This window comes from Homo sapiens, chromosome 8 (genome assembly GCF_000001405.40).
Source record: "Homo sapiens chromosome 8, GRCh38.p14 Primary Assembly".
Taxonomy (NCBI): Eukaryota; Metazoa; Chordata; class Mammalia; order Primates; family Hominidae; genus Homo; species Homo sapiens.
This window is the reverse complement of record NC_000008.11, coordinates 107,683,059-107,709,161: the sequence shown is the minus strand read 5'-3', so window position 1 is coordinate 107,709,161 and position 26,103 is coordinate 107,683,059.

Here is a 26,103-nt window from a genome sequence, read left to right as displayed (position 1 = left end):
GGAAGGCCGAGGCAGGCGGATCATGAGGTCAGGAATTCAACACCAGCCTGGCCAATATGGTGAAACCCCGTCGCTACTAAAATTACAAAAATTAGCTGGGCATGGTGGTGCACACCTGTAGTCCTAGCTGCTCAGGAGGCTGAGGCAGACGAATCGCTTGAAACTGTGAGGTGGAGGTTGCAGTGAGCCAAGATCGTGCCACTGCACTCCAGACTGGGTGACAGAACCAGACTCCGTCTCAAAAAAAGAAAAAAAAAAAAAAAAGAACTTGAAGCAGACAAATGCGAAATGAAAAATGGATACAAAGTACCATTCATGAGTACTGAATCTTTAACTGTAGATCTATTTGAAACACTAAAATAAGAGTGGGGATTAGGATGATAGGAAAGTTAGTGTTACATATCCTGACAGAATAGAAAAAATTATAGCAACAAAAATTAGAAGTAGAAGGCAAAAAGAAGTTGAGTAAATTATTCCTCTTCATTTAAAATAATTGTGGTGGGGGTATCAGGGTGATAAATCAATTAATGAAGTGTCAAATGTACTTGAAACCACAAATTTAAATACTAAAAGAAAATATAATTGACTTAAATGATGGAAGAGAGAATAGGAAATAAGAAGAAAGGGAATTGTGTACGGTTAGAAATTAATAGTAACAAGGTAAATAAATGAATAAATAACAACAGACTATAATTAATGATATTGTCATATCAATAGAGGGCTAAATTTACTTATTAGAAGAAAAAGGGTTTTAGACCAGATCACATTAAAACCCAAATTAATATTGTATATAAGAACTGCACGTAAAACAAATGAGTAATGAAGGCTGAATATAAAAGAATGGATAAACATACACCAGGCCAGTGAAAATAAAAGAAAGCAGAAATTGTAACCTTACTATCTTGCAAATTGAACTCAGACCCTGAAGCATTAAATAAAGAAGTGAATATTTTAATTGTAAAATGTGTAGTTCATAGTAGTTATAACCACCTAGGCATCAAATAATACAACATTAATATTCACAAAGTAAAAAAATAGCATAAAGTCTAAAAAATAGATATATTTTCTTACATTATGAAATATAACAACATTAAAAGAGATTTATAGTGGGAAATTTTCATCAACATTTCATAATTCATGACAACTGACTGGAAATAAGAAAAGGAAATCATTTAGAACATGTAAGTTATGACATTCACACACACACACATACAATTACTATCAATAGAAATTTTATATTTCCAAATACTCCTGTAATACTAACAAAAATTAACCATATATCAGGAAAGCATAAATAAATCCTAAAAAATGAAAATAGCACATACAATCTCTGTGACCACCAGATAATAAAACTAAAAATTGTAACAAATGGAGAAAACTTAGAAAGAGGAGTGGAAAAACAACTAAGAAAGAAAATACAAAAACTTTATCTTAACAACCCTTGGGTCAAGAGAATTTCCAAACAGAAATTGTGGAATACCAAAAAATAATGATATTGACAATACTACATATCAGACCTATTAAATAAGCTAAAGCTCATACTTTATATGAGTTTTATGCTTAGGTGAAGAGTCATGGCTTTAAATATGTTAATAGGCAGTAAGTAAGAATATAAATGAAATAAGTATCCAACCCAAGATATTATAACAATAATAATAAACTTAAGAAAATTAGAGTGAATTCATTATAGAGGCAGAAATTACTTAAAAAGCAGAAAAATAATATTAATAAGTATACACAAAATCTGTTTATTAGCTAAAAATGTCAAATCGATGCAAATATACATTATAAGCAGTGATAAGGGGAAATTATAGGGAAAATTAAAATGATATAAAGATAACCATTTCAAATTTATACAAATGTATTTAAAATTTCTTCTAAATAAACATAATTTAACAAACTGACTTTAAAAGAGAGGAAAAAAAAACTCTAAAATATTCCATTACCATACATTTAGAAATTTATCACAGAGCTCCCAACCAGTAAAATACTAAGCATAGACATTTTCACAGGGTAAATTGACCTAACTTTCAATGAATAAATAAATCCAGTAGTATTTTAAAAGTTCTATACTATACAAAATAAAAAATAAATCTTCCAAATCTTTTTTTATGACAGGCATCTTATTAATCCTAATAAAGAACAAAACTGCATAAGTAGAAAACTACAAATTAAACTGTATTATGAATACTGATGCAAAATATTAACAAAGAGAATGCAGCAATGTATTAATTTACATATAAAATCTCTAGAAGTGATATGGTAGGGTGGCAGGGGAGTGCTGGGTAGAGAAGTGGGGGTCCCTGGTGAGGGTTCCACCCTTGGGCCTCTGCCCACGGAACTATGTGAGAACAGGCACTCCTGTTTTCAAGCCTGAATGTTGCATTTTCCAAGACCACTCTGGCCCACCATGCTTCCTATTCTGTGCCTATATAAACCCAAGACCTTAGCAGGCACAGACACAAGTGGCTGAACATGGAAACAAGCATACCAGCAGACCACTGATGGCAGAACAATGCAGCAGAGAAAGACAGAAGAGGAGGGACATCTGCACGCCAAGGGGAGTTGGACTGGGGGGCGATTGGAGAATAGTCTGGCCACTGGGTGGCTCAACTCCAGGGGAAGACTACTTCCCACTCCATCTCGCCTTCCAGCTCCCCATCCATCTTGCTGAGGGTCACCTCCACCACTCAATAAAACCTTGCACTCATCCTTCAAGCCCATGTGTGATCCAATTCTTTCAGGACACTGGGCAAGAGCTCGGGATACAGAAGGCTGTCACATTGGCACTCTGCCCTTGTGGTAAGGCAGAGGGTCTCGAGCTGATTAACACACAAGCCATTTGCAGATGGCAAATCTAAAAGAGCTTTGTAACACACGCCTACTTGAGCTTGGGGAGTTGCAGTCACCCTCCCCTAGATGCTGGGCTGGAGCCCAAAAGCGCTCTTCACCTGCCCATCTGCATGCTCCCCCTAGGGGTTTGAGCTGTGGGTGACCAAGCAGGCGAATCACACCCCTATTGCACGTCCTGTGTGGGGAATCAGGGATCTCTCCTGTTTCAGAAGGATATATTTTCTGTGGGGAAAATAACTGGATGGTTGGGGGACAGTGGTGTATTATTGCATACTTTGTGAAGTGTGAATCAAGTGAATGGATTAGTTATTAAACAATAAAATTTTTAAAATTCTCCTTCCCATAAAAGAAGAAATTAGAATCAACCTTGCGTTTTTTTAAACATGAATATTTTATGCATCTAGCATATTTTTGCTGATAATATTGATGAAGGGAGAGCTCTGCATTTGTGCAGATCTTGATTGGTTCAGTTGACTTTAGATATGTTCCATTCTAGATCCTGAATTATTGCCCTCAATTTATAGAGGAGAAATGCACTATGAAGAAAACAGCAAAGCTGTGAGCAGGACATGAATCTTTTCCTCTAGCCTCTTTATCGCTTACCATTTTGACTGCCCCTTAGTGCAGGAATCTTGGGTAAGTTTCCTAGCATTCTCCCTAAAAAAAAATTGTTGTTGTTATTTTCTTCTTAAATTAGGATAATAAAAATTTTTTTCTAAGGGCTTTTAATAAGATTAATTTAGATGATAGATATAAAATGGATAACAGAATACTCTCATTAGGTAGTGGATCTTATCTGCTTATGCAGATAAGGAAGGGTCAGCTTTTATACTGGGACATCAGCTTTTGGAAAGATTCTTTCAACAAATATTTATTAGACATCTACTTTGAGGTAGGTACTATCCTAGGCTCAGAGGATACAGCTTTGAATAAAACAGACAAACACTCATGGAATGTAATTCCTTGATATAAGTATCATCAGTCAAGCTTATTATTTTTAAATTTCTAGAGTTTGGGGCAACACAGCATGAAGGAGAGCCTCCTTTACTTCTCCAGCCACCTCTGTCATCCTTAGAGGAGAGGCATAAAGGGCACTTGTTTAGACCTCAGTGACTCTACTTCTGACCTTCAGATACTAGAGTGTCATTTGTCACAGTGCCTTTATGGAGTAGCTGACACTCTGATTCTGCTAGTCCTGAAAGCCAATCCCTGGCATGCAACTAAATTTCCCAAGGGCATACTTCAAGAACAGATATGTCTCTAGCATAGAGTAAATCTCATTTCAAATGATAACAAGTGAAAACAGAAATTAAACATATACTTTCTGGCCATTCGGTGTTCATAGTACTGGACAGATGCTATAAAAAGAAGAGCTGTTACTTGAAACAAACTAGAAATTTGTTAGGTTAATCCATTGCTGGGATGCAAAAATACCTCCTCTTGTCCAGAAAAGTATTATGATTTTATAGCTTTCTAGCATGTTTCAGTTGTGCAGTTTAAATGACCCATGCTCTTAATCAAAACAACAATTTTTGCCTTACTTAATGCTTCTTTCTTGAGACCTTTGACACTTCATTTGTTTTATTTAATTGACAAGGATAAATTGAGTTGGGAAAGGAATTGTATTTCCTTATTCAAGGAGCATCTGGATTTAGGTCAGTGGTAAAGAAAGCACCCAACTGTGTAACAAGTGTGCATTTCCAACCTATGCATTTACTGAAACCCAGTATTAACATTGCCTTGGCTTGTTATGCATACAACTGAACTAAAGTCTCATTTCTTACATGATTTCAGGCATTATCAGATAAGGAGGTACCTAGATTCCTAGGGCACACCTGTTTAAACTCAGGAGAAGCAAAAAAGACAAACGTGATGGGAAAACATGACCCCAAACTCTAAATTCAGCAATCCAAAATTCAACCCTTACTGAGTTCTTTCTCTTTCTCTCTCTCTCTCTCTCTGTCTCATAAAAAGGAGGGAGAAATAAAGATTCTGGCATAGAAATTATTAGTCATGTCCATTTCCAAAGCCTGTACTGCCAGCCCTTTTTCCTTAATTGCTTTGAGGGAGTTTTCTGTAAACAATTACAGAGACGCTTATCTTTGATCAAAGTTTCCTTTCTCTAATTCAGATTTTGCCATTGAAATGACCTCCACACAGAAACCAGCAGTCTCCTATCATAATGGTGAATATCTTTTAAATTGCTGTTGATCCCTCCAAAAGGAAAAGCTTTCCTAAGGACTTGGGATGCATACTAAGGTAGCATTTTAACAAAGTACAAATTTTCCCCTCCCTGTTTATTTCAGGTTTACACAATATAGTTAAGTAACAAAATTAGATTGTTATAACCAAATGAAAACTGTCACTGGATCACTCCAAGTCGTCTAGCAAATTTTACTCTGCACTAAGCAGAAATCCACTCTTAAAATCAAAGGCATTATAAAGCCAAATGAGTTTTCATGTCTGAAGATTAAGCAGGGACAGTAAGCATGTTCTAGATTAATCAAGAATACTTTGAATCTAAGGCAAATAAGGGATAAATGAGAGTTGGATACCATGTTGAATAAAACAAAAAAATTTGTTCCAGTAATTATAAAATCTTGGTAATATATTGATTCTTCATTCTAATGACTGAAGGCTTGAGTTGAGTGCCTGCAAGTTACATTTTAAAAAGCTAGCTCCAATTTGTATAGTCAAGATGAGAGTACTTCCTCTGTTAGTGATATAAAAATAACACCAGTCAAAAGGTTGCTCAATAGTGAATCATCAGTGGCAGGAAGTTAGCTTTTTGACTGAATTTCTGCTTCTTGCAGAAGCAGTTGTAGTTCATTTGACCGTATACATAGAGTAAATGCAGCACATTGTTATTTTACTGAATAGGTTAATCACATGTTTCTGGCTTTTCTTACAATATAAATTATATCCTAGAAACAAAAGATATTTATATACTTATTACCACTTTCAAAAATAAGTATAAGAGAAAGATAATATCAAACAGATTTTTATTTATTTATTTATTTACTTATTTTTTAGACAGAGTCTCTCTCTGTTGTCCAGGCTGGAGTGCAATGGCACAATTTTGGCTCACTGCAACCTCCACCTCCTGGGTTCAAGTGACTCTTGTGCCTCACCCTCCTGAGTACCTGGGATTACAGGCTTATGCCACCATGCCTGGCTAATTTTTATATTTTTAGTAGAGATGGGGTTTTTCCGTGTTGGACAGGCTGGTCTTGAACTCCTGATCTCAAGTGATCCGCCAGCCTCAGCCTCCCAAAATGCTGAGATTACAGGTGTGAGCCACAATGCCTGGCTAGATTTATATTTATTTATCTAAATAGTGGTATTTACTTTTTAAAGTTCTTTTGTACCAGCACAAGAATGGCTATAAAAATCATTTATATGTAAAATAATAATAAAATTCCATTTTAATGAAAAATTAAGACAATAAACTAAAAGCTCCACACATTTAGCAGGCTGTAAAGACTTTATTTTGTAAGATCAGACAATAATTAAATCCAAATAGTCTTTAGATAATAATCATAAACACTTGTTTTTGAGTATGAATAGCTTCAAAAGATAGGATATAAAAATTCCCAGACTAATTTCTTTCATTTTCCTCACATCACATAATCACAACACAGAAGCGTCTAGCAGAGAAATAAAAAAATCTTCTATGTTATGCATGCAGATGAGTTCTTTGATGTTAGAGCAAATGTGTAAGTATCTATTTAAATTGAAAACCATTTTTACAGATTTGATTATAGGATATGCTGATTAGTAATTGTTGCTAATGAATTTATCCCTAAGAATTTTAATTTGTACCTCTTATGCTGGTACCATTTCAAAATCTTTGAATTGAAGAACAGATAGCTGGATATTTTTTATTTAATCTGGGGACTTGAGTTATGTCAATCTAAAACATCTCACTTATGTAGTGTCATTTAACACATCAGTAAAATGTTTCAGGATAATTTTATAAGTGCCTTTTCTTAAAATGAGCATGATACTGATACCTTATCTTTTTGCTGAATGGCTTTGTAAATCTGGGCTTGATGCATCATTAGCATGTATCAAATTTACAGTACAGGCAATCTTGGGACAGGGAGACAGCCTGATCCACCAGGCTGATGATCTTCTGTGATGCATATGACCAACCTGTAGTTTTAGGTCATGTATTTTGTGGCTTGGTTGCTCTTGATTCTATGCTATTAATGCTTTGCAGGCCCATCAAGTCATCAGCAAAATACATTTCTATAGTATTAGCCTCACCCTTATGAAATATGTACCAAGGTCTATTTTTGGGGAGAATCTTTAATATCATTAACCAACATATTCATCCTACTATGTTGAGATCTATTCAAAACATTTTAATATTGGAGAAGAGCAGTGAGCTTTTAAAAGCAGTGATAAAATAATTTTCCTTTCTGTTAGCTAATTAATACTTTCCGGGTAACTAATCTTGGGGCTTTCCAATATTTTATTTTCTTAATTAAAATGCATGACTTAGAAGACAGAATTATTTAAAGCAAGCACACTTAATTAGTAGGTGTGTGAGTGGTTAGGAATTGCAGAGTGTAAACAGTTTTGGGAAGGGGAATGGTTAAATCATTAGATATAAATGCCAAGGAATATTCAACTGTCAAAAGTCATTTTTAAAGTAAAATATTTAGTGAGATGGGCAATATTTATGATATAAACTTAAGTGAAAGGTGAATAGAGAATGTACATAATACAATCCCAACTTCTAAAAACTGAAGAGAAAGATTAAAATTTTAACAATTATGATTTTGAGGTTATAGGAAGAAGAGTGTTTTTCTTTTCTCATTTATACTGTACCTCACTCGCAATAGCATGTAGTGGTTAAGCATATAGGCTTAGAGTTATGTCTTAGTTCTACCACTCACTTGGATGAGTTAAATAACCTCTCCTGAGTGTCTTTTCTTGCATGTAAAATGGAAAAAATAATATTTACCTTATAAGATTCTTGTGATGCCTCAACGAGATACACATAGTAATTCTTAGTACTGTGCCTTCCAAATGGTATGTGCACAATAAATGGTAGCTATTAGTATTATGCATTTTATTAAAACATCTGCAAAATAAAGATGCACTACTTTAAAGGATACCCAAATACAAAGGATAGTTTTAAATATATGTGCTATCTACACAATAAAATTACCTACTTTAATTCAAGAAAATTACATATATTTTTAAATTATTCTAGGCCAATTTTATAAAACTACTATATCAATGTTTATACTATTTTAGAAGCATATATGTTTGTGTATATGTGTGTTTCTTATCACTAGATATTACAGAAAGTTAAATTACTGTCTAGAAATTTCAATTTTTCATTATGATATTGAAAAGTCATTTCTATAAAATTAAAAGAGTAGTATTCACACCTGTAGGTATAAAGATCTTCTCAGATTTCCCAAACTTTAGAAACTATTCATTTAGATGTTAAAAACAAATTACCTGTGTCCTGCATAAATTACAAATAATTCATGAACCCCACAATGAAATATTTATGGTCTCATTGAATACTTCCCAGGATAATAAAATAAAGACTATGTTCTGTTTATGTGCCTGAATGGCCAGAATTTTATTTTCTGTTTTAGTTGATAATTCATAAAAAGAAATTTAGGGGACTGAACTGTAGCTTTCAAACTCGAAAACTAGAACATTTAGAAAGTTTATTATTTTTATAGAAGACTTAGTTATTGGCCATCCAGAGTAGATTGGCCCATGTGTGGCTAAGGAATAAGATATAAAATTTAAGATCTCCTCTTTTTTTTTTTTTTTTTAACTCTTTTGCTTTGTTGACAATAGAACACAGCCTCACAGAATTAATACGAGAAGTGACCTTTCACCCATCATCCATCTGTTGATCCATTTATTCATTCTTTCTCTATGTATTAGTAGAGTACCCATAATGTGACATGCGCTTTACTAATGTGACACGCCTCTTTAAAATACAAAGGTGAACCAGAAAGGCAAAGTCTCTGACCTTGGAGAATTTACAGTCTACCAGAAGAACCATGCAATAAACAGACAAAATAAACAGTAAATGCTATAAAAGAAATTAGCAGGATGATGTCAAAAAGAGTAATTATTTGTTGGGTGGTGGCGAAGATGAGAAATACTTCAGGTAGGTTTGTCTGGGAAGTTTCCCTGAATTGTGCCTTGAGAGAGGAGACAGAGCCAGGCAGGAAGAGATGGGGGAAGAAACTTCCAAACCCAGAAAACCACAGGGCTTGGAGAACAACTGTGACATAATTTTAAGTGAAACAGCAATGCTAAATTGAATTTATTAATGCAGTAGGACACGGACAAAAGAAATGAATTGGATTGATATGTGTCAACATGGATAAAGCTCAAAGACATAGTGAAGAGAAAAAGCAAGCTGTATCATGTTCCTCATGGTATCATTTATGGAACTTTTAAAAACACAAAGCAATGGTACATATTTGTTATATGCATATACATATATAATAAAGTATAAAACCATATATGATAATGATATATAACAGTTTTAGGGCTTTGCTTACTTCTGGAGAGAAAGGGAAGGAATGGAATGTGGAACTTTATAATGTTTGTTTTTTTAAAGAAATATGAAGCAAAATCCTAAAGTCAAGGGATGATTACCTAAGTGTCTCACTTTTTACAATTTTCTGTGTATTAGAAAAGTTGAAAGACTAGAAACTTCAATAAAACAGAATACAAATTGTATAAGGCTAATACTAAAACTAAATTCAAAAGCAGAGAGTATGATCTGATATTTAAAAACTGGAAATAAATTCTATGTGGTGGAATTATGAGTAATTTTTGTTTCTATTCTTTGTTCCAAATAGCAATATACTACATGGATCAAGAATGTAGGAAAAGTAGTCAACCAAGAGAAAAGCAAGTGGCTATGTTGTGGAGGAAGAATGGATAAGATGTAGCCATTCTGACTTTTTGGTTATCAGTACAATACCTTCTAGTATGTTCCACAACCTATTTTTTTAAATGTTTGCTTATTGTTGTTTTTAAAACAACTTTACTGATACAATTGATATAAAATAAATTTACAGTATATAACTTGCTGTTTTGAAGTATGTCTATTCCCATGTAATAGTCACCACAATCACCTCATGAACATATACATCAGCCTCAAAAGTTTTCTTATGTTCATTGGTGCCTATTCTCTCCTATATCCTCACCCCTCTACCTACACCACTGATCACTTTGTAGGCTTTAATATAAATGGAATCAGAGCATATGTAGTTTTTTTGGTCTTCTTTCACTCAGCATAATTGAGATTCATCCATGTTATTAAAAATATTAATAGCTTACACCTTTTTGTTTATAAATAGTATTCCATTGTATATATGCACCACAATTTGTTTACTCATTTAGCTGTTGATGGACATCTAGATTGTTTCCAGCTTTGGGCTATTACAAATAAAGCTGCTATAAATATTCATGTACCAGTCTTCGTATGGACATATTCTCTCTTTGCTCTTGGGTAAATTCAATCTATTTTTAAACGTCCAAAGTAGCAGATCTTCTGTTTCAATTGAGATTACAAGAGTTCTCATGGTGAAAATGCTTTCCATTAAATTACATCTAACTTTGCTTTTTCTCAAATTGATTCACATAATTAAATTCATCCTTTCACCATTTGTGTTTATACTTGACAAATGTCTGTGGGCTCTCATCATGCCTGTAGTCTCCACTTTGCTAAAATACCTCATGATCAGGATTCTTGATTATTTTTTTCAGGTGGGGGATGAGTCAGTCTTTTCACTTTTTAAATCTCATGAATATTCTTATTCTCTGCCATTTAGCTTATTCTAGTTTTAAGTGACTTGTCAATTGCGAAGTCCATTAACATGAAAACAATGTGAAGACAGTGTGGTTTTTAATGCTTCCTCATATACACATTTTTATTTTTAATCCCACTGTTAATTCTATTCAACAAGCATTTACTGATTGGTTTCAAGGCAGTTGACATGGGCAGTAGCAAGATGAGTAAGGTGCATCTACAGAGTGGTTACAGTAAGGGCTTTGAGGCTAACAGATTTGAAACTGAACCCTGGATCAGTTATTCCCAGTCTTTGGGGTCTTGGGCAAGCAGCTTTATGCGTCTAATCCTTGTTTCTTCATTTGTAAAAGGAGAAAATTATAGTGCCTCTTTTACCTGGTTGTGAGGATTAAATGAAATAATGCAGGTGGGATGTTTAATATTTCTTCTCACATCCCATGAACCCCTTCCCACCAAAAAATGATACTCCATCCTCATGTCTATGAAGTAGTACAAACTTCTCCGAGCTGTCACTGGATTGTCACTAGAATTTCCTTTTAGCTTACCATGCCAATTATGCCCTTCTGATGGATGGATGGAAAGGGCTTTACACTCATGGGTCCCTAAACACTGAGGTGGCTTCTGAAGCTGTAGATACAGTCACATTCACAACTTTTTCACCTTTCATTGATGTCATATTTCCCTCCATTTCTCTCAGTCATTGTTTTCTTGTTTTCAATTGCTTAATAAAAAAGAACTTTAATAGTAACAGAAGAAAATGTCTTTGAAATCCAGCCATTCATTGATGAGCATTAATTTATTTACACAGCTGGAAGGTGTTAGGGTTTCAGGAGTGTCACTAAGTAAACTGCCTCTCTCCCGATCAAGCATAGAACACATTTGGAGTTAAGTGCAGGAGTCGGAAAGATGCAGCTCAAAGTATCACTTGTTTTGGTAAACTGCTATAGCTGATTCTAGAAAATGCCTTTAAGTCTGCAGGGGAACAGGTTGTTAATCCTTTATTCTACAATTAAACTTACCCCCATCCTCAGTACTGGCAAGATGGACAATCACAAGTTTCCCCTACAGAAGCAGATTTCTAACAACACAGATGGGAGCAGTACAGAAAACACTCTCTCAGCCACCTAGCAAGTCCCAGGAGAAGCAGGTTGGAGGGAGTATGCGCAGATCTGGATTCATTTTTGTAACTCTCCAGGCAGATTTTTTGTTTTTCCTTCCCTCAGTGGAAAGAGTGAGTAGGAAGTGGAGAAAGCAAATGTTAGTCTAGGTGGAATCCTTCCTCATGGAAACAGGAGGAGGTTGGAATAAATATCCCTCCTTCCCCTCAGTGAGAGTATCCTGGAGCTCATGGGGTGCATCACCTCTCAGAATCAGGGAGGGATGAGTTCCTGTCACATGCTCTTGTGTCCCACTATCTACGTTCCTTGGAGTCAGGGTCCTGGTTCATTCTCCTTTTCCCTCAGCTCTGGGCTGAGTACTCAACACTATAGAGTGAGACTGACTTTAATGTGATTTTATGCCTGAATTAAAGGATATGGCAAAGAAGAGAGATAGAGGAATTTGCCCTTGCTTCTCTCGCCAGGAGGGAAAGAGCTAATCTTAACAAAACATTCCTCTACTTTCAAGGCTTTCTCTTGGCTTTGGAGGAGACCTCTCACTTACTTTTATATTCATTGATAACTTTTAAGGGAAAGCATGTTTCTCTTGTCTCTGCACGTGAAGAAAGCCTTTCAGTTTCACAGGACTCTTAAAAAGGATACAAGAAGATATAAAGGTTTAAAACCTGCCAATTTCAACGTTTGAAGCTTCCATGCAGTTCGCTCTGCTGAAGTGGTTGATATCGATGGATTGCAAGCTGGTTCCATTCTGGAGAAAGGAGGCTTGCCTGTTAAGACATTGTTTCTGTGTGTTGGTTGTGCTATCTAACTTCAGCTTTATCTTAGTCATTTTCCAACATTGATATTCTATAGGGAAAATTATAATCCTATAAAGTGCTTTGATAAGAAACAGGAAAAAATTCCATGTTTTGATTGAGGGTTACTAGGAATTTTCCTTTATGAAGATATGATTTGTAAGTTTCAAGATTTTGGCAATAACTATCATGCAAGGGTAAACATGGATTATTTCTATTCCCTACGATAAAATGAAAAAAAATAAATTATTACTGTGATAAATCAATGTGTATCAAATTGAAGAATGGGAGTGTGGAAGAGAAGTTAAATTGCAATCTTTGTATCACAATTACAATCCATATTACATGTTTTGTAGGCAGAAAGAGAAAACCTGATCATTTTGACCTAGAAAGCAGCTTTTTTAGCTTCATTTTTTTCTTCCAATTTTCTTGCATAATGACTGAACCCATACAGAGATTGCATAGATTGTTGTATTTTTATCTTTTATTTTCTTCTTTTTTATTTTTGAGATGGAGTTTCACTCTTGTTTTCCAGGCTGGAGTGCAATGGCGCAATCTCAGCTCACTGCAACCTCCGCCTCCAGGTTTCAAGAGATTCTCCTGCCTCAGCCTCCTGAGTAGCTGGAATTACAGGCATGCGCCACCGAGCCTGGGTAATTTTGTATTTTTAGTAGACACGGGGTTTCTCCATGTTGGTCAGGCCTGTCTTGAACTCCCAATCTCAGGTTTTCTGCCCTCCTTGGCTTCCCAAAGTGCTGGGATTACAGGTGTCAGCCACCACACCTGGCCCAGAGATTGTTTTCTGCTAAGTTCCTGAATCTTATTAAATAAAGAAACGTGATTTTCATGTTTATGATAACAGCTTTTAGGAATTAGATTAGGGCCAACTCTTTTCTAAAATAAGTATCATCAATTTTTCTGCTTGATTCTTTCTCTAACACACACACATACACACAGCCCCCCCCAAAAAATAGGTAAATTGTTGCTGTGAGTATAGAATGGATTTTATCTTATTTGTATCTACCAAAATATTCTCCACTTTGTTTCCATGGTACACAGTCTCAGTCCAGGCCCTGACATTCATACAAATATAAAGAAGCTCTGCACTATGTCTCCTAATGCCACATTATGCTTTTGCTAAGGAAGAAAAAAATCACAACTTGATATATAGTGTTAGTTCATTCATCAATTAAACAACCTTCATCTAAAATGCTTCAGTAAGTTCTAATTGCCCATTTATAAACAGTCTTTGGCAAAAGAGACATCTCAGATGACAGGCATTAATGACTTACTAGAAGTAGAAAAAAAATTCTGATCTTTTTCATGATTCAAAAGCAAACAAATCTCAGGTTTTCCCCAGAAAAAGTAATATGATCTGTTTTAATGTTTTCTGTCCTCACTAATTGTTTTAACTATAAGAAAACATTGATTTGGAGAATTCAGAGTCACTTATGTCATGGATACTTCCCCAGGCCAGTTAAGCCTGGGAATTTAGTTGGAATACAAAATAAGAAATCTATTTTTCTGTGGTGCTGCTTCATCTTCTCTAGGGTCTTCTTTGCTTTTTATTACCAGATGATCCTAATTAATCTTGGTTTCCAACTTGTGCCCAAAGAGACCACATGACACAATCCAAACAGCTTCTTAAACCATATGGTTATTAAAGAGAATACTCTTGCAGAGCTGGAAAGCTTCCTTCTCCTTATTTCTACTTATGGCGCTCTTGCTTTTGCCTGAAGATAAGAGCTCTTGGCCATGGTACTGCCTCCATGCCTTTAGTGCAATAACACGCTCAAGAATGCAGCCAAGACAGCTTCCTCATCTTTCATTTTACCTAGGCAGGTGCAGGTTCTTTCTCTTCCTGCAGCCAATAGAGGGAGACCCTGGATAAGTAAACCTGCTTGGCTCAGATGAGACTTGAGCCACATCCTTGAACAATCACTCTGCTCTTCCTACTTACCAGTGGTAGGATCTAGAAGCCCCTTGAAAATGGCTATTTTCCCTCTTTCCTTTATTTGGATACTGCCCCAGGGTTTAGGCAGCTGTTTTGATTTAAGTTCATTATCCCTCTTTGAAGCAATATATTTACTCCATCAAAGAGAGGACAATTTCTCTAACAGAGATGTCATTGATTCTCTAAAGAAAAGTCATCATATCTTCCCAATGATCTTGAGTAACAGGAAGACTATATTTACTACTTTGCTCATGAGGGTTGTTTGAAAATGGGACGCTGTCCTATACTTATAGGAGGAGTTCCAGTAGCAGCTCAAATATTGCCATGCTATTTTTGACTCACAGAACTTACAGTGGAGAAACAGAGAGATGGTAATCTAGATATGCTTATATATTGATCATTTTTAGGCACATTCACTGAATTGCAGAGAAATATTCTTTGGATAATTGAAAATCCTGGATTTGAATATACTCTGGATTCAGTGGAAAAAATTAAATTCAGATACAAGTGTGTATTATGTTTGGGTTACAACTATTACATACTCAGATGGTTTTATTGCTTAGCCATAGTTGTTACGATCTCTGGTCTCATTAAAGTTATTTATTTTAACATCATTAACTTCCTCCAATTCAGTTTTTCTTCAAAATTTGAAGTTTATTAACATTATTTCCTGTTAACCTTGTTAATAATATGAGTATTACTCATTATGAGTAATAATATGAGTATTACTACCATTTACATTTACTAATAGCATTTTGTTAACCTTGCTAGTACTACAACCACTAATTCAAGCGAAACTTTATTGGATTCTCATTATGCACTGAGCTAACCACTTTGTGTGCTCATCGCTTAATTCCCACAATAATTTATGTACGTACTGTTATGATTCTTATTCTGCAGGTCTGGATTCTGAGGCTCAGAGAAGTTAAGCAATTATGGTCACAAAGCTATAAAGAAATAGAACAAAATCTCCGACCCAAGTATATCTGACCAACTCCAAATCCTGAGCTCTTAAACCATTAGGTGGCACCTGCATTTTCATGTACATATTATGTATATAAAAATTAATAGATTTAGTTAAGTGTATCTGTTAATATGTACATATATGAATAATAACATCTATTTTCATCTAGATTCCAGGATCTGCTGAATTGATTTATGAATAGTTGCTATATTTGCCACTCAGAAAATTGAAACAACAATTTGTCTTTTCTTTTACCTTATAGGTAAATGTAAACACTAACTGCATGCAAAAGTCAAGATTTTTAGTCTAAAAGAAGCTATTAATTTTCACTTAATTTTTAGTAATTTTTTCTACTACTAATAATAGATAAAACATTAAGCACACCATTGAAGAAAATTATAACCTTAAACTGTTCTTTAAAGATTTCCAATGTATTTTTTCCCATTCTTGTCTCCCTTCACATTCCTTTCATTATCTTATCTAAATATTCTTAATTGCACATATCTGAAAAGAATTAGCATATGTCGACAGTACCCTTAAGTATGTCTCCAGGTCTTAACTCTTAGGACTCTGCCTGGCACATAGTTAATGATCCTTAAGTGCTTGTTACATTTTATTGAAGCAAAAGCTAAACATGGAATTAAGTCCTTCTAGCAAAGTTGTAAATAGACAAAAGCCCATCTTTTTCAGAAAAATACCCAAATATTTCCTTAATATGCTTATTTATTTATAACACATTTTTGGAATTAAATATCCCTAAATAAAAATTTAGAGGCACTCATCAATTTTAGTTATTTCATTTGGCCACTTTGCCTTCAATTAATGTATATGTAATACAATTTTAGAATAGTCAATGTGTAATCAATCTAGATCTCTTGTGAGCATAAATCTGCTTCCTTGAAACTTATGAGAATATTCAATTACTTGAATTTATTTGAAACTTACAGTGAATTCATCTTAATTTAAAGATCAAACATTTGGATACTCTTTTTCTGTCATATGCACATGCCATTTTTGATCAGCATGTACCATTTTTTTTTTCCTTAGCTAAAACCAGAAATGGAAAAGGCAAAAATACCGTGAGAACAGCAGTTTTCTTGTGGTATTTCCAGCTCATTGGAAGTGGAGTATACTGGAAATCACGGGAGACAGGCCTTTCCCATGGGGCTCTAAGCCCAGCAGTGCTAATCCAAGAGGTTTGGTTTATTTAAAGCAATCCTTTCAGGCTCATCTATCACTAGTCTCAAGACCTTGAACAAAACCCATAGCAGACAAGGCAATTTTACATGTGTTCTGGCAGTCTTCTTCTATGTAGAGTTATTGTCCAAATAGACAAACATTTTCCTTTCAACAAATATGTAATGGGTTTTCATAACTATGAAAGATGGGTCTCCAAGTATAGGTTCTCTTTTCATGTTCTGTGTGGAGGTTTGGATCACTTCCTAATCGCAGAATGGAAAACAAACTCCCTTTCAAACCATCCGCATTTTAATTCCTTCCTCTTTCAGTTTATTTATCGTGAGATGACACCGTCACTGCCAACACTAGGGCAGGGGATGCACAATGATTTGAAACACTGTGGGCATGAGTAGTACATTTGGAGTTTCTCAGTTACCAATATTTTCTTTCAATTTTTTTAAAAGCATGGTTTTATTTTGGGTAAAGAGTAGCAACTGAAGGCCAAAAACATGTACATGGTAAAAAGGAAATTAAGTTTGTTTCAATAAATATTTCTCAAGCACCTACTCTGTGGCAGGTTCTGAGGATTTTTAAATAAATAAGACAAAAGTAGCTGATATTGGTGAAAGCTTACTGTTTTCTATGTGATTCTCTAGGCCCCTTATATATATTATTCCGCGGAAGTCTATCAACAACCCTGCAAGGTAAGCACACGTGTTGACCCTATTTTACAGGGATCATTTGGCTGCAGAGAAGTTAATCAACTTGCGTATAGCCACACAGGCAGAAAATAGTAGCACTGGGATTCAAACCCCTGTCATCTACCTTTAGAAACTATGTTTTAAATCCTATATTTCCTTAAAATATTGACATTATAAGGTAGAAGACCAATGTACAAACCAATAGCACAATACAATATGATATGAACAATAAAGTATAATTGAGGTAGAAAGTAGCATTCTGATGGAGTGGAGGGTAGAGGAGAGAGTCAAGGGAGACTTCAAAAAAATGTGATATTTAAGTGGAGATAGAAAGGTGGGAATGCAGTTTACCTCATAGAACAACTTTGAACAGAGAAGAGGAATAGGACGAAGAAGCTCCTGCCATGAGAGAAATAGCATGTCAAATACATGGAGACATGGCATAGCAGGGTGATGTCCTGGAAACCATAATTGATGTAGCATTTCTGAAACACCAAGCATCCCCATGGAGGGAGGTGGCAGGAAATGAGTCTACAGATATAAGCGAGTGTCAGTTCATAGGGAAACTTATGCGACATGCTAAGGAGACTATGTTTTATCCTGTAAACCAATGTTTCTTAAGGTTTCTTTTCAATGTGCCTGTATAGATAGAAAGAGAAATAAACCCTTAGGCTGAGATAGTGTAGCCCACATAGTCAAAAGTCCTCACATAGAAAAAAGTTTTGAAGCTTATGGTTTTGTTTAAATTTATGCATTTGCTTTCAATTACATAATACTTTTATTTTATTTTATTTTATTTTATTTTTATTTTATTTTATTTTATTTTATGACATTGTCTCTCTGTCATCCAGGCTGGAGTGCAGTGATGCAATCACAGCTCACTGCAGCCTCGATGTCTCAGGCTCAAGCAATCCTCCTGCCTCAGCCTCCCCAGTAGCTGGGACTACAGGCATGTACCACCATGCCCAGCTAATATTTGTTTTGTTTTTGTTTGGTAGAGATGGGGTTTTGCTAGTTGCCCAGACTGGTCTTGAACTCTTGGGCTGAAGTGACCTGCCCACATCACCCTCCCAAAGTGATGGGATTACAGGTATGAGCACTGCACTCAGCCTATTTTAATATGTAAATGTTTAAATTATTTCTCACTCAAGAAAATCAATGTTCTAAGAGACTTGCATGCTTCATTTGTGAAAAAGTACCTTTTGACATATCCTGTGTTTGGGAAGCTCAGCTGAAGATGTTGGTAGGGCAAAAAGCAAGGCAACAATATAATCATATTTGTTTCTTTGATACTTTTGGAGGGACAGAGAGAACAGGAAAATCCTCTAGACCAGACTAAAGCTGATGAGGGCCGCACCAAGGCAGTGGCAGTGGTGATGAAGAAGAGAGAAGTGATTTTAGAAACATATGTTAGGATAATTAGCATGGGATAGTTAGTTATCAAATGAATGTGAGGGATAATGGAAAAAACAAACCAAGGCTATATGTCAATTAAGGATAGTGTAATCTCATCAGCTGAGATGGAGAATATAGGAAGAAGGGCTTTCCTACACCTTTCAAGAACTTCATTATAAGGAAGACTCAGTACAGAGACCCTACATCCATGAAAGTCAAGAACATACAAATCTCAGGCCAGGTGCGGTGGCTCACGCCTGTAATCCCAGCACTTTGGGAGGCCAAGGCGAGTGGATCACCTGAGGTCAGGAGTTCGAGACCAGCCTGGCCAACATGGCGAAACTCCGTCTCTACTAAAAATACAAAAATTTGCTGGGTATGGTAGCAGGCGCCTGTAATCCTAGCTGCTCCGGAGGCTGAAGCAGGAGAATCACCTGAACCCAGGAGGCAGAGGTTGCAGTGAGCCGAGATCACGCCACTGCACTCCAGCCTGGATGACAGAGTGAGACTCTGTCTCAAAATAATAATAATAATAATACGATTTTCAACATTTTCACATTCAACATAATCTCACTATATTTTTCTTGATTCTCTTTTACATATTTCAAAGGTCTTTCCTCTTGAAATTTGAAGAAAAATACATATTTTTTAAATTAGAAAACTCAGTATGTTTATTATTTTTTAAATACCCAGAATTAATAACAGTTGGTGAGGATGTGGAGAATTTGGAAATCTTGTACAATGCTGGTAGGAATGTAAAATGGTGCAGTTATGGAAAACAGTATGGCTTGATGTTTCCTCAGAAAATTAAAAAATAGCATCACCATGTGATCCAGGAATCTGGGAATATACCCAAAGAAATTGAAAGCGGGAACTCAAACATATGTCTGTACATGTATGTTCATAGCGGCATTTTGCATAATAGCCAAAAAGTGGAAGCAATCCTACTGTCTATCCATGGATAAATGGATAAGCAAAATGTGGTATATATATACAATGTAATATTATTTAGCCTAAACAGGCTTATTTAAGAAACTTATTGACTAGCTTATTTTATTGACTAGCTTATTTTATTTTTTAAATGTTCTAGCGTCAAGGGTATGATACAACAAAAATGTCAATTTTCCTGAAATTGTTTATTAAATGAACAATCACTTCCCCAAAGTTGGTGAGGCTTTTTTTTTTAAATTCATGAATCAATTTTATATGTATTCAAGGGAGTAATTCAGGAGCATGTCTTCTGTCACATGGACTTGTATGGAAAGAGAAGCTATGTAGAGCATAATAGCTACAAATATTGGCCTTGAGTGAAGTGTCCTGTGTTGAGTCTCAGATCCACATTTTCAAGTTGTGTGGACTCAGGGAAGTTGTTTAGTCTTTATTAGCCTTGGTTTTCCAATATACAAAATAAGAATAATGACAGTACTTACCTCGTAGAATTGTTACAAATCAATATTAGCTATCATTATTTCACTGAAATTTGGTAGAGTTCCATATAAATATGTGTGATACATATATATATATAATATATATAATAATATATATATGTATCTCTCAAGTCTGTCTGGAGTAAATCATAACATATTTGGTTCCCACAACTTTCAAGAATTTAATTTCAGGGAAGTATCAAGGCAGAAACTGCACAACTGTGTAATTGGCAGAGTGCCGTCACATACATTATTGATTTCTTTTTGATTCACACAATAACTCTGTGATAAAAGATATTTCTTCCCTATGGAGATGAGCAAACTCTTAGAAATCACAAAAGTTTTAGGGCAAAAACTTGCAACTTCAGCTAAAAGGGTCTGACTTCCAAATTCAATGCTTCTACTGATGTATCAGGATGTCTTTGGGAACAGATTCTATACCCAGAATCTCTTGTATCAGATAGCTCTGTAAACTTTTTTTATTTAGGAAAGTGTTTATTTTAAACATCAAAAAATCTATTGAATGCTTCTAGGGCAGGTCACATGTCCATAAATGAAATATCTCTATCTCCTAAACTATGAACAGAAGAGATTAAAGAGATCACTCAAATAATATATATAATGTAGCAGGTGCTTGATTTATTCCTCTATAAAATTTCAGGAGGATTAAGGAGGTTTGCTGTGAAAATGGTGTAAAAAATAATTACGACACCTGACTCAAAGCAGACACTCTTCAAGACTTTTTTCAAACTGGTGGAAGTGTTCTTGGCAGCCTGCTCTCATCACAGAAAGGTGTTGTGAGAGGGAGATTTTTCTCTGTGCAGCCAAGTTGTACTGAAACTCCCAGAGGAGCGAAAAGTGTGTTCCAAGCTTTTCTTGTTTGCTAAGGTGTAACTGGAACCTCCTACCCGAACATAAATTAACTCTTTCCATTTTTCCTGTCCTGGTTTGTCATGTTAACCTAACCTTTTACTATAAGTTGATCTTTCAACTGAATCTTACATGATAAACAAATTATCTTACAGGTTTAAATCATTATTAATCATTTAGAATTGCAATTACAAAAAAAGTGCTGTTTTTTGCTCTATTTCTCATATTTAGCCATTGTTTCCTAAAATGTTCTGTGTTTCCAACTTATGGAGGAAATTCAATCAACAAGTTAAAAATATTACATTTGAATTAAAAGTTGAAGTCAACATCTATATAATGATAAATCCTCTCTGGAAGCTGCAGCATACAGTTGGAAATGTTTCCATTTATTATGCAGATTCCTGAAAACCTGAATAAATTTTAATTTAGCCCCCAAAGAAACCTGATTTGCAGAGAAAAATTAGTTAAACTGTCATATAAATGAGATTTAAGGTGTTCAAATTTGGAATGAACTGCAAAGCTGTAATTTCTTAACCTGACAGAATGTATTGATTTATATAGCTATGTCATTTATTTACTATGGTGGACAGTCATTTTGGTTTTATTATTTTTTTTTGGAGGGGTTTGATTCTCAGTTTGCATTCATTTTTCTTTTGGTACCAGTAACTCTGTTTGTTTGTTTGTTTGTTTGAGACGGAGTTTCGCTCTTGTTGCCCAGGCTGGAGTGCAATGGCGCAATCTTGGCTCACTGTAACCTCCGCCTCCCAGTTTCAAGCGATTCTCCTGCCTCAGCCTCCCAAGTAGCTGGGATTACAGGCCCCCACCACCACGCCTGGCTATTTTTTTATATATATATATTTTTAGTAGAGGCAGGGTTTCACCATGTTGGCCAGGCTGGTCTCGAACTCATGACCTCAGGTGATCCAACTGCCTCAGCCTCCCAAAGTGCTGGGATTACAGGCATGACATATAGTATAAAAGAGTACAAATTGGCAAATATGGTATAGTGTGATAAATCTTAGACTAGGTCAAAGTAAAGTGATCTAGGGAAAATTGGGGGTACTGTGGAATGGTCAGACAAGAAATTTAGAAGGAGGTGATCCATTCTAGTTGAGTCGTAAATGAAAAGAAGAAAGTAGTGACTATTTGGGAGAAAGAGGAAGAGATGCGGATGAATGGTCCTGACCAAGAAAATAGCCTGTTCAGAATTCTAGGGGGCAGAGTCAGGATGTTCAAGTGACACCAAATAATTCAGTATGGCAGGATCACAAATTTAAGAGTTGGGGAAATAATTCTGGAGTCATAAGAAATCTAGCTGATGGAATAATCAGGGGCTCGATGAAGAAGGTTCTTGTAGATCATGTTTTTAAACAGAGCACTGGTATTTTAGCAATATGATTCATAAATGTGTGAAAAAGTGCTTTGAGAGGCAGCAAAATTGGAGATAATAAAACTTGTTGGGGGAAGAGTATGACTGCAGGGTCTGAGGTAGTGTCTATGTGAATGGAGACAAGCAGAAGGATTTGAAAGAGATTTTGGGTATATGAATACTCAGGTATTCGACTGATTGGATATAAGGGTGAGGAAGAAACCCAGGATATGTCAGAAGAGATTAAAATATGGCTGGAGATTTGATAGTTAATTTCTCCTCTGATACTAAGGTTCTGCTTGCTGTGAAAGGACTTTCTTCTTTCATGACTGTTCACAGTAAATGCTGCTAATCCAAGCCTCATCCCACTCGGCTATTTGTCTTTTTTGCCTCATGAGTACGCATATTACTGTTTTCTACTTGTCACTGTTGAAGAAATAAAACAATCCTGTCCACAGAAGTCTCCTCCTTACCAATGTAAAAAAAGAGAACAATTTATTATCAAAAACCTATTAACAGATTTACTTGCATTGAAGTTCACATGAAAATTACTACGAAGTCTGGACACAATTTTACACAGATTTATATAGTAAGGTAGAAGAAAAAAACAATTCACTTCTCTATCTCCTCAAGAAATAAATGGATGTACTTTGTTATTGTTTTCTATATACTCCCTGATAGATTCCAGTGATTATTTTGGAATCATGTGTTTGCAGTTCCAAGGGTCAGAAAATCTGTGAATTTGCCTTGTATAATCAAAAGGTTGGACCTCTTCTTAGACTTGTAATGCTTTTTAGGAGATACCCTTAGGAGAGGAGATTGAGGAAACAGCCACCTCCCTTCTCTCTATTAAACAAATAAAATTGCTTCATTTTATTCTTGAATCATCAAGACCTCTCTGACTGTAATATCCTGGCTGGTTTACCCTGTCCTTGGTTATGTTCTCTGAAGTCAATACTTGAGATGGTTAATTTTGATATTACATAATCCAAATTTGAGGGTATAGGATATATGAGGCCCTAAGACCCTGACAAATTCAGGGACTCCAAGGGACTCAAGTTCAGCGAATTCCAAGGCCTCACTCAAGTTGTTGGCTGACTCAGTAGATGTCAGAGTCCTATCATACTTCTAAATTGCATGCCTCCGGGTATTTGAGCAAATGTGTTTCCAACCAAGGAACACCATTGAATTCATTCTGGAGGGGATGTGTCCAAGTTTGTTGAACAAGAATGATACCAGGCAATGAATGGTCATTTGCCCCTCTTTTCCCTTCCCTTGTTTCCTGGTGTTTTGGTTTTGTTAAAAACTTTAGACAAAATAAATTTAACAGAGTTTATTTGGGCATTAAAGAATTAACGAGTGGGGCAGTTGCCTAAACTAGAAGAGGTTCAGAGAGCTCTGCTTCAGCAGCATGGGCAGTGAGCTTTTATAGCTGAATGGGGAAATCAAGGAAAGAAATTACTAGATTGGCTACTGCTAGATGCTTATTTAGGTATAATCTGCTGGAAAGTCCCTAGTTAGAAGTTAGTTGGCAGTTTCTGGTTGGTTTAGCCTAAATTTTGTTTTACTATTTACATTTGGCTTTAGTTTGCTTATGTAGGAATCAAAGGTACTGGATACCTCTCAGCCTAATGGCCTCCCAATTACATTTTTTAGAAACAATTTCTTAATAAACTGCTGTAATGGGTATGTACCATGTAAAGTGGAGTGAGACTGGGGAAGGATTGTTTTGTTCTCTTCTGGTTTATTTCACAGGTACCTCTTAAGGGTATGTATTAGAAAGAAAAGTCAAGAGTGCATCCTACTAAAGTACATAGAAATTCTATCTCAAATCAACAAACCTTTTCACATCACCTCCAAAGAAGACTGATTTCTTAGTGTTCTACCTGATACTTAGAATACTGAGGGGGTTTTTTGCCTTCCCTGTAGGAACATTTCTGCATGATAGCTGAACATGAGTTGCTAAGCTGCAACTGCAGATGTCACTCTCAGCTGTTATGTGTGGCCAAATAACCCCTTATAGGCTACTTGAAATAGAAAAACTACTGACATGGGGTCATTGGCGGAGGTTTGTAATAATGCATTTACAAGTAAGGACTTTTACTGATGATGTCACAGGGAAACTGAGGAAAGGATTTTATTAGACGTTACATAAAGATCTTTTTTTTTTTTTTTTTTGAGATGAAGTCTCGCTCTTGTCCCCCAGGCTGGAGTGCAATGGTGTGATCTCAGCTCACTGCAACCTCCGCCTCCCGGGTTCAAGCGATTCTCTTGCCTCAGCCTCCAAGGTAGCTGGGATTACAGGCGCCTGCCACCATACCTGGCTAATTTTTTGTATTTTTAATAGAGACAGGGTTTCACCTTGTTGGCCTGGCTGGTCTCAAACTCCTGACCTCAGGCAATCTGCCCACTTCGGTCTCCCGAAGTGCTGGGATTACAGGCGTGAGCCAACCCGCCCAGCCAAGATCTTTCTAAAATATAACTTTAAGCATTCTTGCTCTTTCTGTAAGCACTTTGCTTATATGTCATCTTTTATAGCTCTTTTTTCTCTCCTTTCCTTTAGCGTCTTTCATCTTCCCTTCCCTACTTTCCTCTTCACTTAAACCTCTCTGCCTCCCATTTTTTTATCAGTTCTATTTATTTTTCTTTTGTGTTCTCCAAAAAGGTATCCTTAATAGTCATAGAGCCCAGAAATATGAAGGGTTCACCTTCCTTAAATGGATGAAAAGAAAGAACTACATAAATCTATAATTTAATATACAGCTTTTCCTCTTAGTATAAAAACCAGCCATTTTTGAATTTTTCTTTGAGAACCTGTATGAAACCTCTTTTGTCTCTCCTGTCTTGTGTGCTAGAATTGACAAGAGTCAATTGAAAAACTCTAAGACCTCTCATTGGCTTTGTCAGGGAAGAATTTTACCATGAAGTGGTGCATTGACCATCTGCAATTTGCAACCTTCTCAAAGACCAATATTATCATAGGTGTTTTACAGTTCTTTCAGGTAACTAAAACTCTTTATTATTGCAGCCTTTACTTCCAAAATTCCAAATATATTCCTTTTTTTCATTGCAATCAGTTGAAAGAAAGAGGTAAATATCTCTGTTGTTCATTTCAGGAATTTCCTGAAAGAGTTATCAACTCTTCAGTAGAATACATGAGTGGACAGTTTATACTATAAGACTCTTTGACCCTCTAGCCTCATCAGTATTCTAATCTTGCAATGCCCACCAATCCTAAACTATTATATAATGATACTTACTCAGTCTTAATGAAGCCTTCACATTATAAGGCCCACCTTAAACCTAACGTTATAATCCCAATTTTCCCAACTTTGGCCTGTGACGACCAGTAAGACTTTGTTGAGGTAAGTTCTCTCTTACTGCAGTCAACAATTAACCAAGTTTGTGTTATCAATGGGTTGTTTTGCTGATGTTTTGAGGAGTCAGCATTTTGACACTTAAAAAATTAAGACTGTGCAATGCAGCTACTATATTACCTTGAGGTTATTGAAAATATGAATTTCTGGAGTCATGCCTCAGAATCTGAATTTGGGAATACTCAGCATTATTTCAACATTGAGTGCTCCATGCACTATGCCTAAGAAGTACTGGATCTAAGCAGATATAAAAATATAAAGACTCCCCATTCAATAAATGGTACTGGGATAA